The sequence below is a fragment of the Homo sapiens genome, chromosome 10 (genome assembly GCF_000001405.40).
Source record: "Homo sapiens chromosome 10, GRCh38.p14 Primary Assembly".
Classification (NCBI taxonomy): domain Eukaryota; kingdom Metazoa; phylum Chordata; class Mammalia; order Primates; family Hominidae; genus Homo; species Homo sapiens.
In genome coordinates, this window is record NC_000010.11 from 101,282,083 (window position 1) to 101,298,347 (window position 16,265).

Consider the following 16,265-nt stretch of genomic DNA (forward strand, 5'->3'; position numbering starts at 1 on the left):
GAAGAACAAGCAGTCTGATTCCTAGGGGCTCAGGCCTATGCACTTAACCATAAGAAACAAGCGAAAGTGGCCCCACTGAGCTCCATGAGGAGCATGGCTAATCCTGTCACTCTGATTTGCATGTAGGGATGGTCTGCTTGTGGGGATGGTCAGTTCCTGCAGACCCGTAACTGCTGAGCTCATGAAGAGCCCCCTGGGATCTGGCCTGAGAGTCCATCAGCCAACTCTCTTCCTCCTGTTAGTACTTTCCCCCATAACCTGGGTATCCCAGGGTACTGTCCATCTCTGAGAGGTTAGAGCATGGCAAAGACCAACCCACCAATTCCCCTCTGCCCAGAGACCTCAGTTCCTGGGCCACTCTCTATCCAAGGCCACAAGGCCAAGTTCTAGGTCTCTTCCACTCTTTATACTCAGTAAGGGGGACTCTATGGGACTAAGCTAGGGTCCCTGCATGTCCTGGCATGGAGGTGGGAGTGAGTAGAGGGCTAGGGCTCAGAAAAGGATGTGGGAAGAGAAAAAGGGAAATAAAATAGAGGGCAGGATTAATGAAGTGGCTTCAAAAACTAATAGTGCATTTCCCAACATCTCCTCCTCTGACTCTCCCATCCCAAGGGAACCTGCCCACACCCCCAAAGCAGGCTGCCCAGCTCTCAGTCCACCTGCTAGGGTGGAAAGAGGCAGGAAGTCTCTCAAGGTGAGGGAGAGAACTCCCCTTCCTTTATACTCCAATCTCTAGAGATGAAACCCCAGGTCTCAGCCCCTCCTGTGAAGCACAGGCCCATCCCCACCCCTACCCAGCTTCAAAATAGCCAGTGGGAGGTGCATTAACTGGCGATGCTTTGGGGACAGCTCCCGCCATCCACAGCCCTGGCCATCTTAGTTTCTTTCAGTTCATCCCATCAAATGCCCTCCTTTCTCCCAGGCCTCCTCCCTAGAAGCTGACCTGGAGCTGGATTCCCAAATAAACAGTAACTAATTGGATTAGGAGCCGATAATACTGTTGACCTTTCTTAATGTCTACTGGCTGTCTTTCCACCACACTGAGGCTTAATTGTATGCAGTGGGGAGGAGGGTGGGGGACTTCCAGGAGTGAAATGTGACCCCTGTTAACCTCAGATAAAATGGGCTCAGCGTCTTCCCAACTGCCTGTCATCCCCCATGGAGCAGGAACACACACATGCTCCCTCTCTCATCAAATAATTACACAGATGATACACACATGCATAGGCATGCATACAGAGATGCAAACACACCCAGAGGCACATATGCATCCACACGTGGTGCACACATAACGTTGAACCTGGGTCATACATGTACACAAGTCACACTTGAATGATACACCTACAAAATTACATATATGAAAGACAAGTATATGCATATACACAGATACAGATTTGCAAAATGCAAACACACAGATACATATCGATAAATATATATTATTGCACCCATGATGCAAATGCATAATAGATGTATTCGCATATGTACACAAGATACATATGCAAGTAAAGATACACTGACATGCACACGTATGCATGATGCTTAAATAAATGAGCATGCAAAGTCCATGATACAAGTGCATACACACATATGCACGCTACGCATACCTTTGCACATCGATAGACGTCAGAGCCCCCACCACCACACACACACACACACACACACACACACACACACACACACACACAGGCAGTTTGCCCCATTCCACAGCCCATCTCCTTCCCAGTCTCTGCTGCTACCACTTTCTATTTGTTCCTGGGTTGTCTGGCTGTGTTTCTGGGATCCTGAGTATTATGGGTCTCTTGGAGTTCTGGCCCAGCCCCTCTGAGTGTCTCCTCCTCTCAGTATCTCTGGGGCCCTGTCCCCATGTGGATCTCTCTCATCCTGGGATGCTGAAGTGGAAAAGGACCTGGCTGCCACGGTGGTAGGGAGGGCATGAAAAGGGAAGAGATTAGAAGGGGAGGATGGGAGAGAAGGGCCAGAGAGGATGGAAAGGAAGGTCGGGGGAAAGGACCGGGAAAGAGGGGAGCGGGGAGCGAGGGGCGGGGGAGGGGCGCCTGCCTGCGCACAGCAGATGTTGCCGCTCCTCGGATGGAGCTGTTAATGTAAGTGGAGTTTCTGCAATGGTAATTAGGAGGGCCCTCATTACCCTGGCGGAGCCGGCTGAGAGCCGATAAAGCCGAGGGGGAGAAGGGCCGACATCAGGGTAATGGGGGAGCAGGGCCATTGAGGAGCTGGAGCCGAGCCGGGGACCGCTCCGCGCGCAGCTGGAGCCCGGCGAGAGGGCCGCGGAAGGGGGGTGCGAACCGGGGCCGGACCCCGGGGAGGAGCCGGGAGGCGAGCGGCGAGGGGCACTGCGCGGCTGGGTCTGCCCCGGGGTTTCGCACTGCGCCGCGGGTCGAAGTACCGCGAGTTGGCCCTGACTGTCTGCAGGATGAGGGTGTCGAGGAGGGTTCCAGGCCAGCGTGCCTGCCTCGCCTCCAGCCCGGGGTAAGGAGATCCACGGAGGCCTCTGCGCCTAAACTCAGGTGGCCAGACAGAGTTGGGGCGGGAGGCGGGTATACGGAAAGGACACCCTTCCCCTCTATGGGCCCCGCCCGCTGTGCAAGGGTGGGGAACTAGCACCCTCGTCCAGCGTCTAGCGTGACCAAGACATGTACTGTAGAATAGCCAACACAAGAGTTGACGGCTCCAGAATGTCAGATCACAGACGAGAAGACCAGCCTTCAGGGTTGGAGGTAGAAGCCTCTTGACTCTTTGGATTGAAAGGAGACCAGTCACCCCTCCTGGGAGGACTCTCCCACCCATCCTCCCCTACATAGTAACCTCTCAGCCCTAGAGGAGCTACAAGAAAAGCGAATTGGAGAAGCTCATCCAAGCAGTCCTAAGTACCTTGCTTCCATGCAGGGCTTTGCAGGAAGAGGAAGGGAGGCAGGGAAGGGTACGGTGACAGCTGTAGACATCACCTGCAGCTCTGCTCCCCGGCCAGGAACCCAGGAGGCCCTCCCAGACCCCCAGAATGGGGTTCTGGGGTGGGCAACTCATTTGCCATCTATCCTCCCCACACCTGAATATTTTAGGATGGGCCTCCAGCGCTTTCCAGGCTAACTCAGCGAGCCCAGTCTTCTTAGTCAACTGAGAGACATGTCTACAGAACAGACCATGTGGCCAACTCCTCCTCCTCCCCATGCCCCAGGCAAGAGGACTCTGGGAAGACATCCAGGAAGCAAGGAGTCTGTAGCCAGGTCAGAGAGAGAGGAGCTGTGGGGGTCTGTACAGACCACCTCCAGCAGAGAACCCATCCTCCATTTTCATCCCCTCTTCACATCCCTCCACCCACAGCTGCCTTCAGAAGCCCAAGGTCATTGGCCCTGCCACTCTGGTTTGCCAACTCCTCAAGGACCACATAGGCCCAACTGTTATGGAAAGGGTGGACCAGAGAGAGGGGCTTCTTTTCCTTCGGCTTTGGGGAAGGCAAAGGCAATTCCTGCCACTGCCCACTCCAGAGACGGCCGCATCTTCCAGGTGACTAAAGGCAAGTGATGGTTCTGAGGAGACCAGGACTGTGGGGAGCTCCTGGGCTCAGTGGGGGGAGCTCCTGGGCTCAGTGGGGGGAGCTCCTGGCCTCGGGGAGAGCCCCAGATGTCGCTCCCCTCTTCAGCTGCATGGCAGAGCAGGGGTTAACAGGGAGAGGCTGCAAGGCTGGAGCTGCGAGGCTGGAGCAGGCGGTGGCTCCCGCCTCTTCACCACCCCCCTCAAGAGTTGCTGACTCTTCCTTTTTGTTCGGGCTGACAGCGAGCACCTGGTGTGCTCCTGCAACAATATTGTTCCTGCCTCCCTCCCCCCAGGCCCCAGGCTCCCTTCCCTCTCCCCCTCCCCGCCCGCCGGCAACCTTCCCCTCTGCCTCCTCTTTCCCTTGCCCCCTCCTGCCTGTGGCCTCCTAGGCACCCCCCTACCACAACCACCACAAGCACCGACGCTGCAGTGTCAATAAACACAACATATGCTGCCATTAATGTGAAAATCGTGCCCTCTACCCCATTCATCTCCTCAGCCTGCCCGCCCGCTGGGGGTGGGGGTGGGGGGTGGGGGAAAGAAAGGTCAAGTGGGAAGCATTAACTACCCTCTTTTTCCTATCTGCTCAGCCCCCACCCCCACCCCCAGACTGGAGAGAAGAAAAGGAATTGGAGGAGAAGGAATGGGATAAGGGTGGGGGTTTTCTGAGACCCACATTCTCTCTGACATGCCCACTGAGCCTCCCCACAGGAAAACAGGTGAGCGTCCTCATCCAGCCCACGGTCTTCAACTTTGGGGTGGGGGCCAGAGTGAGGCCCTTGGCCTGCCCATGGACAGCCATGTTGCGGGCACGCTTCGCCTGGGGCCAAATGTGGTCACGCAAGTGGGTCTCTTTCTCCTGCACATCCAGCAGTCATCTCAGCTCCTGGGGACTTTCTGTCTGTCCACAGGATTATGAAAGAAATACTAGAAGTATTCTCCAAGTTGGGTTGGGCTTCAGAAAGCCCTTTTGATATAAGCCAAATACCTCAGATGGCCAAGGGAGTGGCCTGGCCTCAGTCTCCTCAACTAAATCACCAGTTCCAAGACAGCAGGGAATAATAAAGATAAAAATAATATAATAACGACAGCTAACATGTATTGAGGGCTTATTTATGTACTAGGAATTGTGCTAAGCACTTTACAGGCTTTATCTAATTTGCTCCCCATAAGACCCCTATGGGGAAGTTACAACGGATATCCCCATTTTACAGCTGAGGAAACAGGCTTCACAGGGTAGCTAGCATGTATTGAGTGCTCACTGCATGCCAAGCGCTGTGCTGAATTCACTTAGTACAATGTTTTCTTGTTTGTTTGTTTTTTTGTTTTGTTTTTTTGAGACGGAGTTTTGCTCTTGTTGCCCAAGCTGGAGTGCAATGGTGCGATCTTGGCTCACTGCAACCTCCGCCTCCCGGGTTCAAGCGATTCTCCTGCTTCAGCCTCCCTAGTAGCTGGGATTACAGGCATGTGCCACCACACCTGGCTAATTTTGTATTTTTAGTAGAGAAGGGGTCTCTCCATGTTGGTCAGGCTGGTCTTGAACTCCCAACCTCAGGTGATCCACCTGCCTTGGCCTCCCAAAGTGCTGGGATTACAGGCATGAGCCTCCGCACCCGGCGAGTACAATGTTAATGACCCTGCGGTGAGTACAATGTTAATGACCCTGCGAAGCTGGCATCACTATTAGTGTCATCTTACAGAACAGGAATCTGAGGCCCAGAAAGGTTCAGTAACTTGCCCAAGGTCACACAGCCAATAAGCAGAACTTGGCCAGGAACCCAAGTCTGTCTGACAGCAAAGCTTGTCATCTCAACCCCTATACTTTCCTGCCTCCTTTTTCTATCTATCACCATCTCCAGTAACCCCACAGCATGGCCCCCTCAAATCCGCCCTGTGTGGGGTTGAACAGATACAGGGCAATGCAGAAGGAAAAGCTGACAAGCGGCCTGAGCGTGAGACCGAGCCGAGACTTATTCTCTGCTCAGCTCCTCCCTGGTTTCATTGTCACTCCTTTGCCACTGAGCTGCGCCCACCCAGCCTGTGCGCTCACTGGACTCCTGCCCCCTGTCCAGCCCCATTTTAAGAATTCATCGTGGACAGGAAAAGTGCCCCTTCAGGCTCCCTTAGCATGAAGACATTGTGCTTGGCTCTGCAGCTCCTCACTTCTGAGACTCCAGTTGCTTTATTGATATTAACTTAACACTCCCCCGCCCGCCACTTCCCCACCCGCCCTAGCCCAGGCTGACGGGCAGAAATCTGCTGCCTGGGCACCACCCTGACCTCTCTTTTCCTCTTTCATTATCCACTCCAGGCACCAGGGAGCCAGCACCAAAATTAAAACAATAACTAAGCCCGAAGTGGACCCAGCAGCCCCCACTCCCACCCCAAGGGAGGGGAAAAAAGCCACAAAAACACCTGGAGAGGAGAATAATCACTGGAAGGGGAGGGGGTGACCCACTCCCATGCCAGCACCCTTCACCTGCCTTAACCCTTTGTTCCCTGGACAGTAACCAAGGTTTCCCCATTTCATCCCTCCCACCCAGTCCCATAAAGAAGCGGCAGCTTCTGGCAGCTGCTCAGTCATTTGGTGCAATGGGATTTGAATAAACAAACCGGGGACAGTGAGGTCCCCAGAAGTCCATAGTCAAGGGCTAAGACCCCTAGAGGCTTTCAGTCCTGCCACAGCATGAAGTTGGCTCATATCAGAGCCAGCGAGCCAGCTGGAAAGAAAGGACATGGGTCAAGGCAAGCCCAGTCTAGCTCTGTGGAGGCCAGCAGAGGGGGCTACTGTCCTGAGGTCAAGTGGTGGGAGAGGGAAGCTTAGAGAGGCCCATCTCAGGAGAGCGGAGGTGCTGATTATCCTGTAGTGGTGGGCACCTACCCATGCAGCCTCCCCGGACATCTATGGGCTAGCAGCTCCAGCAGGGGGTGTCCCTCCAGGGAGATTATCCTGTAGTGGTGGACATCTTCCCGTGCAGCCCCCCTGGACATCTATGGGCTAGCAGCTCCAGCAGAGGCTGTCCCTCCAGGGAGAGGGGGCAGAGCTAGCAGCACTGAACTGTCCTAAGTGTGCTGGGCTCTGCAGAGGGCCTTTCTGTCGTACGCCCCCTCAGCTCTACCTAGAAAGAACCTATCTCACTGCTCCATCGGTCCCACACCAGGATTCCCACACCCCCAAGCTGGCCCCTTCCCTGCCTCTACTCCACACCACACTCCAACCTCTCAGGGTCTTCTAACCACCCCCTTATCTTGTCCAAGGTGTGAATAAGTCCTTGTTTACCTTAATTCTGCTAACACCAAGAGGGAGACTTTTCCAAAGGCTCTGTACTACAAAACTGAAGGAAAGACTAGGAGAGCCAACACTTATGTTACCATGGCCAGGCCCTGTTCTAAGGACTTTTCCTAAGATTTGCACAACAATCCTAAGAGATAGGTACCCCTATCCTACAGACGGAGGAAAGGAGGGCCTGAGAATTCACAAACTTTAGCTGGTGAATGGCACAGCTGGGATTTTGATCCAGGCGGTATATGCTTATGCAACACTACTTTTTCCAAAGCAAAAAAAAAAAAAAAAAAAATTTAAGTCTTTATTTAAGTTCTTTATTCCACATTAGACTGTAGGCTCTCTAAGGGCTTTCTTGCCCATCATGGCATTCCCACAGGGTGAGGCAAAGTGGGACAACCATAAATGTGCACCAAAGGGATTCCAAGACAACTAAAGGCCTCCAAGGACTGCCTGACACACCCCAGTGGGCACAGAGGACATGATCCTTCCCCTTGCCTCAGCCATGGCTAGCATGGGTGCTAGACTCAGCCACACTGACTGCTGGCCACAAGCAGGCTTAGCTGAATCCAGAGCCAGGTCTGATGAGGTCCTCTAGCCTTTCCAGAACTCTTCCATCTTCTCATTGGTCTCCCTTGACCCTATAGGTTCTGACCCAGTCCTGGCCCCCTCAGCTCATCCTTATAGCCCCTCAAGGGCCTGCACCACCTGTCTCCAAAGACTAGTCACACTTCATGAGGGCCCTCATGGTCATGCCCTTCAGAGGCCACTACTCCCCAAGCCCGGCACTCTCCTGCTATCGTGGAGCATATTTGTGGTTAGGGCTGGCCCTGCCTTTCAGAAGCTCAGCCCTCTCACCCCACAGCCTGGTTTCAAGTTGTCCTAAGGACATGTGCCCTGGCCCCAGGAGCCACTCTGCTTCACACCTGCCCCCTGCCCACAGCTGACCAAAGACTTTCCTTTGCCACTCTCTCAATACAAGCCCTCTATTGCTCCCGTTCCTGATATAAGTTTCCTCCAAATCCCCACACTGTCTCCTGTGACCCACTTAAGAGACCTAACTCTCTGGACTTAAAATAGAAAACACCAAACACAAGCTTTTACACTTCCCGCTACCAGCGGAATAAAGGTTGCATCTTTAACAAAAACAACATAACCACCTACTAATAATAATAGTTGCCGACCACTTCAAAGTGGGTGGCCATTCACTTGCCCAGCTCTCCCCAACCCACTTCCTACCTGTCCCCAGGCTGTGGGTCTCTCGGGACGTGTGACGTGTATGGCTGTGTGCTGTGTATTTTTGCCTCCTCAGGAAAAACTCCAAAGTGACTGCTTGCCCTGGGCTCATCTATAATCTGGGGCATTGATCGGGGCCCATTGATAGCTGATTGTTTTCACACGTGACTCGGTCACATTCCTCTAATCTCCATCCTTCTGCTCAGTTTGCATGACAAGAAGTGGCCTCGGTGGAGAGAGGTCGCTCACCTCTGACCAGGATATAATTGGAAAAAGAAGGTCATTGCCTCCTTTGCTTCTAGGGCAGATCAGCTTCGTTCCATTTGTGTCACGAGCTCTTGCCAGCACACACTCTCAATGACATGGAGACAATGGCTGTGCCCCACAATGGAGCCCACAGAGATGTGCTCGATACAACACAAACACACCCCAGGATCCGCACTCACTCTCATCAGGACAGGCATGTACGACAACACACACACAATAGGTGCTCTCAGTAAACGCTGATGATAACACCAGTGATACACGGGATGATGCATACCCAGTGACATCCGCACACAGAGGATACATAAAAAGATGCATAAAGCAATGCTTACCCAGTGGTGCAGGTACCCAGCAACATACACATGCAGCGACACACAGACACATCCATGAGGGCAAATAGCCCAGGCCGAGCTACCACATCCAACATGAAAAAATATGTGACATTTTTCAGTGTACCCACTTGGCAGGTAGCCCATTATATCTTGTACTATTATTGATCTGCTTGGAGCCAAAGCTGACAGTGCCCCACTCCTGGTCTCCCCATGTTCCCATTCCCAGTGCCGCACCTCCAGGCAGTTTCTTCAGGTAATGCTCATGTGGGACTCTGTATCAGCGTTATCTGGGGGAGCTCTGACACCGGGCATGCTTCCAGGAAGCCCTGCCTCTACATACAAGCTTCTTACAATGCATGCGTGCGGGTAAACACGCTTATGTTAAAAATCTCCCTCAAGTAATTCTGCTATCCTGCCAGGTCGAGAACACTGAGCCGTCACCACCAGGCTCCCCTCTCCAGGGTGGCTAAACTTGCCATTGAGGGTGTTGGGCTGTATTTTATTTTCTCAGTTTGGGAAGGGATGAGGCCCCAGAACTGAAAAAAGGACAGTCAATGGCCAGGAACCGAATGAGTTAAAACCGGGCCCTATAGCCTTCATCCCTGGTGACTCTGGCTGGCCTCGTTAGCGCCCGCGCAGCACGCACAGAAGGACCCTTCGCGCAGGATGTCCCGGAGACTCGTCCACGCTCCCTAGCCGGGCTGCGAAGGCCCAGATCTCCCAGCGCCTCCATGCCGCGTCGGCCGCGGCCTTGGGGGTCTTCCGGGGACAGTGGCCAGCCCTGGGCCGGTGACCTAGCCTTTGGGCGCTTCCCCGGGGCTCTAGGGTCCCAGGGCGCCAGGGCCAACACCAGGAAAGCCAGAAGGTTCCTTCCTTTGGGGCAGGAGTTGGGGGGAGTCGCCGTACGCCCACCCTGCCACGCGGGAGGCCTCCGGGAGAGGGCAGAGGGCGCCGGGCAGGGACCAATCATCGGCGGCGACCGGTCACTCGCGCCCCAGCGAGGAGACCCTGAGATCCGCGGGGAGAGCACAGGGTCGCGCCGCCCCCTGGCGGCTCAATGACAGAGTTGAGGCCCGGCGGCTGGCGACTGCGGCGTCTGGCAGCTCCAGGAAAGGATCCCCCTTGTGAAGAAACGCCCCTACGAAGACTGTCCTGTCCTGTCCCTGCCCTCCCGCTCCCGCTCGCCTTCTCTCCCCTTCTTTATTTTCTCTCTTCCTCCTCCCCCCACCTCTTCCACTCTTCCTGCCCTTCCCCCCTCCCCGTCCTCACTCCCTCTCCCACCCCCATTCCTTTCTCTCGTCCTTCGCCCACCGCCTCCCGCCCCCGCGGGGCAGCGCCTCGGTGCACCCGCTTGGCAGTTAGCCCATTAGATCTCGTACTATTGATCCGCTTCTGAGCAAAAGCTGACAGCACCCCCTCCCGGGCTCCCCACGTTCCCATTCCCCGCGCCCCCCTCCAGGCAGTCCTGGCCTGCGCCTCCTCCCGCCCCCCACGCGGGCCGCGCCGAAGTCTCGCCCTCACGAAGGACGAGAACAAATGTAATTAAAGCGACCGGCGAGGGGGGTGTGCCCCCACCAACGCAGGCACGAGCGAGGGTCCCAGCGGCCGGCGCCCGGCCTGCCACCTCCCTCCCCCTCGTCCCCGCCCCCTGGAGCGGGAGCATTTGGGTTGAGCTGCGCCTGTCCTATAAATCCACATATAATTCTCCTCTTTCCTGTTCAGCTAAGGAAAATAAACGTGTAAGGCTGTTTCTGGGAGCCCAGCTCAGGGACCGCTCTAAATTCTCCTCTTATTGAGTAGGGGCTGGAAATCATTCAGCTCGGCGGCGCGCCCCAGAACCACCCCCTACCCCCGCTCCGGCCCGCGGCCGCGCCCGCGCCCGCCGCGCACACGCACGCGCGCACACGGAAGGCAGGCGCCGGGTATATAAATATCTCCAGCTCTCCCCATAGCCGGGCAGATTTATTCCGCTGCCAAGCCTGCAGAAAATTGACTTGTTCATGGAGGCGGCTATTGACACATCACCGGGGGGAGGGTTAGGGGAGAAAGCAGTGGAGCCGGCGCCCCTCCATTATACGTTAATGTAATCAGCAGTGTGCGAAATGACTGCGCGGAAAATAGCATCACTGACATTTATATTAGAGGATATTGATGGCAGGAGCTGTGACCGCATCACTCTGCCTCCCGTTTCCACGGATTGACACAGGAGCCTCTTGTTGGCTCCATCCACGCTCGCCTCCCCTCCCCCTACCTCTCCCGCCCTCTCTCTGTCTCCACCCACCCTGTGTCTCTCCAGCTCTCCCCCTCTCCGAGGAGGAGATCTCACCCCCACCCTCCCTATACACTCTTTGATCACTCATTTTCCAAATAATTCTTGAGCACCTACTGGGTGCCAGGCGCAAGGGTCTCTCCCTGTGCCTCCTCTCCCTAGGTTTCTCCCTCCCCCTCTCCCCCACCGTGCCCTTGCCCTCTTTGTCCCTCCTCCCCAGCTCTGCCTCTCCCCTCCCCCTGCCTTGGCTCGGTGGCTGGACCGCTGCTGTCACAGCAGATAGATAATTGAAAAATGGGCCTCACCTTTGCAGCCGGCAGGAGTGGTTCAGGCAGTTACCGCCGGGGTTACCTACTCCATCTCAGGCCCAGGCTCCAAAAGAGATTCTGAGGAAATTGGATTTTACATGGATGTTTTATTCGAGCAGAGGCTTTAGTGTATATAAATACAGGCGAGGAGGCCTTGGCGGCAAGGATGAGTGAGGACAGACAATCCCGCCTGGGGCCTCCAGGCTCAGGCGAGGCAGGCGGGCCATGTGCTCAGCTCCCGGTCCCAGACCTGGATATCAGCGCATTCCCCCTCATGATCTGGGACTGAAAGAGGTTAATGCTTCTGAACAGCTCCTCAAAAGCTGCCTTGGGAATAAAAGAGTGTAGTTGTTGAGAACTTGACAGGACAGTATACTGAGAAAAGAAGGAAATATACTGGAGAAGTTTGAGGACTGATTCTTTTTCTTTCTTTTTTTTCTTTTTCTTTTCTTTTCTTTTTTCTTTTTTATTTTTTGAGACAGAGTTTCGCTCTTGTTGTTCAGGCTGGAGTGCAATGGCATGGTGTCAGCTCACTGCAACCTCCGCCTCCCGGGTTCAAGTGATTCTCCTGCCTCAGCCTCCCGAGTAGCTGGGATTACAGGCATGTGCCACCACACTTGGTTAATTTTGTATTTTTAGTAGAGACGGGGTTTCTCCATGTTGATCAGGCTGGTCTGGAACGCCCAACCTCAGGTGATCCGCCCGCTTCAGCCTCCCAAAGTGCTGGGATTACAGGTATGAGTCACAGTGCCCGGCCGAGGACTGATTCTTTCAATAAATATCTATTGAACCTTTAACTTTTGAAGTATTGAGTTTGAGGCACAGGAGTGAGTAAGTTATGGCTGCTGCCTTCAAGAACAGTCTAATAGTTTGGAGAATGACACTGGGGGTTTCCTTTTTTTTTTTTTTTTTTTTTTTTTTCAGAGATGAGGGTCTCACTATGTTGCCCAGGCTGGACTTGAACTCCTGGTCCCAAGCGATCTTCTTGTCTCAGCCTCCCATCTAGGGTTTCTGGTTATGGATAAGGAAAGGGAGAGTGAGAAAGCAGATGCTGAGATTGCTTTTCTAGGGCATGACCAGCTGGGGAGCTTGAATGAAGAGGCAGGAGGGAAAGTGGTCGGATTGGGGCGATAAAGGACCTAACTCTCCAGTCTGCTCTCTGAGCCTGGTTAGCAAAGCATCTAGGGAACTTGGACAATGGTGGACAATGAATCTATAGGCAAGATCACATCCAAAGTGTTTGCAAGGAATCCTGGTGAGATTCTCTGGAGGGCCAAGATGAAGGATCATTGAAGACCAAGGTGAGGCCCTCCAGAGAGACCAGGTAGAAGGTGGGAAGAGGACCTTTGCGGGAGGCCTAAATTGAAGGCACTTGGGCAAATGAGGGGCATCAGAAGACCAGGGAGATGGGATGTGGGTGTGGAGCGGGAGGAGGCAATGCCTGGGGACCTAGGATAAAGATTCTTTTGGCCGGGCATGGTGGCTTACGCCTGTAATCCCAGCACTTTGGGAGGCCGAGGAGAGTGGATCACCTGACATCAGGGGTTCGAGACGAGCCTGGCTTACATGGTGAAACCCCATTTCTACTAAAAATACAACAAATTAGCCAGGCATGGTGGTGCACACCTGTAATCCCAGCTACTCAGGAGGTTGAGGCAGGAGAATCGCTTGAACCTGGGAGGCAGAGGTTGCAGTGAGCTGAGATCGTGCCATTGCAGTCCAGCTTGGGCACAAGACGGAGCGAAACTCCATCTCAAAAGGAAAAAAAAAAAAAAAAGATTCTTCCAGGGCCTGAATGTCCCCTACCCCATAGGAAGGTCTACATTTCATTCCTGGGCAGGGTCTTTTCTGTGCCCTGTTTGATCTCTGATTAGAGTCTATGTGGCTGACAGGTGCAGCGCAAATCATTTCTGTTCCTTGGAAGGAGAGTCATGAGCCATCCCATGATTAAAGGACTGGAATGAAGATGAGCGGACCCAGGCTCAGACTGCTCACTGAAGGGATAGGGGCTTCTTCTGAGCTCACAGCACAGACAACAGCTGCCTTATCCCAGCCATATCGCTGAAAGCTGGACTGTTCCTCCCCCAGAGAAACATTACAAAACCCCCCTTGTCCTCTGCCACATTGTTATACTGTTACATCATCCGCTTTGGGGGCAGGACAGGTGCTGGATAGATGATGGCCATCCCTCCAGCTGCCCCACACACATCCCAGGCACTCCCAGATGGCACACTGGGAACTCCAGTCCAGCTGTAGGATGGGAGTATTCTGCGGTAACTGGACTCCCTCTCAGAACTCTCCCTGTCTGACTGCCATCAGCATCTTCCCTCTCACCTACAGATTTCATTCATCCTGACAGCCCAGTGGAAAGGGAGCCCCTTTCCACCCATCAGGGAGCCAGAACACTCCCACTTACCTTAGTTACCTGTGCCACCTCCTTCCCTTTGCCCTCAGTGAACCACAGGAACTCATGTCCTATCTGTCTCCCAGATCAACTCCTGTATTTGTCTTCCTTTCCTTGTGACTCATTTGAAACATGGATGCAGAGATTCTGGTCTTGCTCCTAGCTTAAGACCCTGCTGTGGTGTTTGTTTCCCTCCAAAATTCATGTTGAAACTGAATCCCCAACGCAATAGCATTAAGAGGTGGGGCCTTTAGGAGATGCTTAGGTCGTGCCCTCACAAACAATATTAGTGCCCTTATAAAAGGGCTTGAGGGAGTTGTTTGCCACTTTTCCCCCTTCTGCCGTGTGAGAATGCAGCAAGAGGTGCCACGTATGAAGCAGAGAGATATCCTTTACCCGACACCAAATCTCCTGGCCCCTTGATCTTGGACTTTCCACCTCCAGAACTGTGAAGAACAAATTCCTATTATTACTATTATTATTATTATTATTATAGAGTCTCACTCTGTAACCCAGGCTGGAGTGCGGCGGCGTAGTCTCAATTCACTGCACCCTCCACCTCCTGGCCTCAATCGATACTTCCACCTCAGCCTCCCAAGCAGCTGGGACTACAGGCACCTGCTACTACACCCAGCTAATTTTTTTGTATTTTTTGTAGAGATGGGGCTTCACCATGTTGCTCAGACTGGCCTCAAATTCCTGGGCTCAAGCAATCCTCCCACCTTGGCCTCCCAAAGTACTGGGATTACAAGCATGAGTCACCATGCCTGGCCTGAATTTCTATTATTTATAAATTACCCAGTGTCAGGTATTTTGTTATGGCTGCAGAAATAGATTAAGACAGACCCCTTGGCTGGGCACGGTGGCTCACACCTGTAATCCCAGCACTTTGGGAGGCCGAGATGGGCAGATCACGAGGTCAGGAGATCAAGACCATCCTGGCTAACACGGTGAAACCCCGTCTCTACTAAAAATATAAAAATTTAACGGGCAGGTGCCTGTAGTCCCAGCTACTCAGGAGGCTGAGGCAGGAGAATGGCGTGAACCTGGGAGGCGGAGCTTGCAGTAAGCCAAGATCGTGTCACTGCACTCCATCCTGGGCAACAGAGCAAGACTCTGACTCAAAAAAAAAAAAAAAAAAGACAGACCCCTTGAACAGGATGGCGATGAGAACATGAGTGCATGCATATACATGTGTGTGCATGCACATGTGCTCCCTTGAGCATTGCAAACCCAGGGAATAAGTGACACCATTCAAGGAACCGCACTCGGTCTCACCTTGCCATCCAATTTAGGAAATTGACATTCGTTAGAAAAATAAAGGAGCAGCCAGGGAAGTGGCTTCCCACAGCAGGAAGGATGCTCCTCAAGGCTTTATGAAGATGGGCTTCTGGGAAGTCATTCCTCCAGGAACATCTGCCCGATAAGCCATCAGAGAGGACTCAGGGAAATGGGGGGTTGAAGGTACTGGAAAACGGAGCCACATATAATTCAACCATTTCTTGAGATTTGGAATCTGTCCTTTCTCTCTCCCCATGTAGAGGCCAGGTAGATGTAGGGTGCAAAGGAGAATGAACCTTTGAAAGGTGGCTACTCTGCTTCTGGGGGGCCAAGGAAGCCAGCAGGAGCTGGGAAGTTAAGGTCTAGGTGGAGAAGCCAAGCTTGGCAGAGGAGTGTTTCCAACTTTAGCAACAAAGCCAATCTGAGCTGTGTAACTGAGGTGAAAGTCACTTCACCACTCTGGGCTTCAGGTTCCTCATCTGTAAAATGAGAAAAAATAAGATTTCTTTCCGTTCTAGTTTCTGTGATTCTAAACCGATGGGTGAGTGTGATTGGAGAGCCCAGGTTTAGGATGAAAGAAGGAATTTCAGGGCTGAAGATCCAGATTCTTACAAGAGGGATGAACAGAGGTAATTGCAGGGCCAGCGGGGCCTGACATTCATCAGAGGACTGTTGGTGGCTGGGAACCTGCCAGGGCCAGGACAAAACAGAGCATAAAATCAGCCCGACCCTGGGGCAGAGAGAAGGCAGGGATGGATCTAGAAAGCATGCTACCTAAATTGTTTCAAACTCAGACTCTTTGCTCAGAATCTGGCTCATACAGCCCAGAGATCATGGGTAGAAACTCCAAGTGGCCAGGCAGGTGTCCATCAGCCTAAGCAACATAAAATCTGTGCACTCTCACGTTCTGTGCTTTAGAAGGGAATGAGTGGGAGGTGAGGGTCTTTGCTTTGTTTCCCCAGAGTTTCCTAATACGGTTTCCTGCTTGAGAAATGTTAGCATCACCTTGGCTGGATGGAGAGGGGATCAGGGCGCCCCTAGTGGTGGAGGCTGGTGGTTGGCAGAAGCGGCACCTCCTTAAGACTTCACTAGAGGAGCACGGGATAAAGTGTGAAGCAGCTGGAGGGAGGCCGAGGGGCACAGAGCCTAATGGAGGCAATCCCTCCGCCCTGTTTTGACTCAGGGCAAGATGAAACAGGGCAGGTGGCCAGGGAGAGTTGGAGCAGAAAGCTGCCTTGGAGGATAAATGCCTAGAGGGAAAAGACTAGAAGCCCAGAGCACAGGCAGCCAGCAGGCAGCAGGCAGGGGAGGAGAGGTGAGAAGGGAGGGAAGATAT

The 16,265-nt window shown here is 53.4% G+C and overlaps 1 long non-coding RNA gene across 2 annotated transcripts, besides 6 other annotated features; it reads left to right on the top strand.

Moving 5' to 3' along the window:
• Positions 1–1,840: 1,840 nt before the first annotated feature.
• On the top strand, positions 1,841–4,021 carry LOC105378453 (uncharacterized). Of its 2 annotated transcripts, none has more exons than XR_001747306.2 (3): positions 1,841–1,921; positions 3,078–3,242; positions 3,340–4,021. It is a non-coding gene; the product is annotated as an uncharacterized LOC105378453 (long non-coding RNA). The 2 variants fall into 2 exon arrangements; XR_946247.2 differs by lacking the exon at positions 1,841–1,921 and adding an exon at positions 2,377–2,487 and having other exon boundaries at positions 3,340–3,889.
• Positions 3,030–3,939: an enhancer, noted in NCBI's record as "H3K4me1 hESC enhancer chr10:103044869-103045778 (GRCh37/hg19 assembly coordinates)". NCBI's record gives its function as "activates a minimal SCP1, AML or CMV promoter by ChIP-STARR-seq in primed H9 embryonic stem cells {active_cell/tissue: H9 hESC(primed)}" and the evidence as "EXISTENCE:reporter gene assay evidence [ECO:0000049][PMID:30033119]".
• Positions 3,940–4,847: an enhancer, noted in NCBI's record as "H3K4me1 hESC enhancer chr10:103045779-103046686 (GRCh37/hg19 assembly coordinates)". NCBI's record gives its function as "activates a minimal SCP1, AML or CMV promoter by ChIP-STARR-seq in naive H9 embryonic stem cells {active_cell/tissue: H9 hESC(naive)}" and the evidence as "EXISTENCE:reporter gene assay evidence [ECO:0000049][PMID:30033119]".
• Positions 8,838–9,377: an enhancer, noted in NCBI's record as "H3K4me1 hESC enhancer chr10:103050677-103051216 (GRCh37/hg19 assembly coordinates)". NCBI's record gives its function as "activates a minimal SCP1, AML or CMV promoter by ChIP-STARR-seq in naive H9 embryonic stem cells {active_cell/tissue: H9 hESC(naive)}" and the evidence as "EXISTENCE:reporter gene assay evidence [ECO:0000049][PMID:30033119]".
• Positions 9,378–9,917: an enhancer, noted in NCBI's record as "H3K4me1 hESC enhancer chr10:103051217-103051756 (GRCh37/hg19 assembly coordinates)". NCBI's record gives its function as "activates a minimal SCP1, AML or CMV promoter by ChIP-STARR-seq in naive H9 embryonic stem cells {active_cell/tissue: H9 hESC(naive)}" and the evidence as "EXISTENCE:reporter gene assay evidence [ECO:0000049][PMID:30033119]".
• Positions 16,086–16,155: an enhancer, noted in NCBI's record as "active region_3910". NCBI's record gives its function as "activates an Ori minimal core promoter by ATAC-STARR-seq in GM12878 lymphoblastoid cells {active_cell/tissue: GM12878}" and the evidence as "EXISTENCE:reporter gene assay evidence [ECO:0000049][PMID:35858748]".
• Positions 16,196–16,265: an enhancer, noted in NCBI's record as "active region_3911". NCBI's record gives its function as "activates an Ori minimal core promoter by ATAC-STARR-seq in GM12878 lymphoblastoid cells {active_cell/tissue: GM12878}" and the evidence as "EXISTENCE:reporter gene assay evidence [ECO:0000049][PMID:35858748]".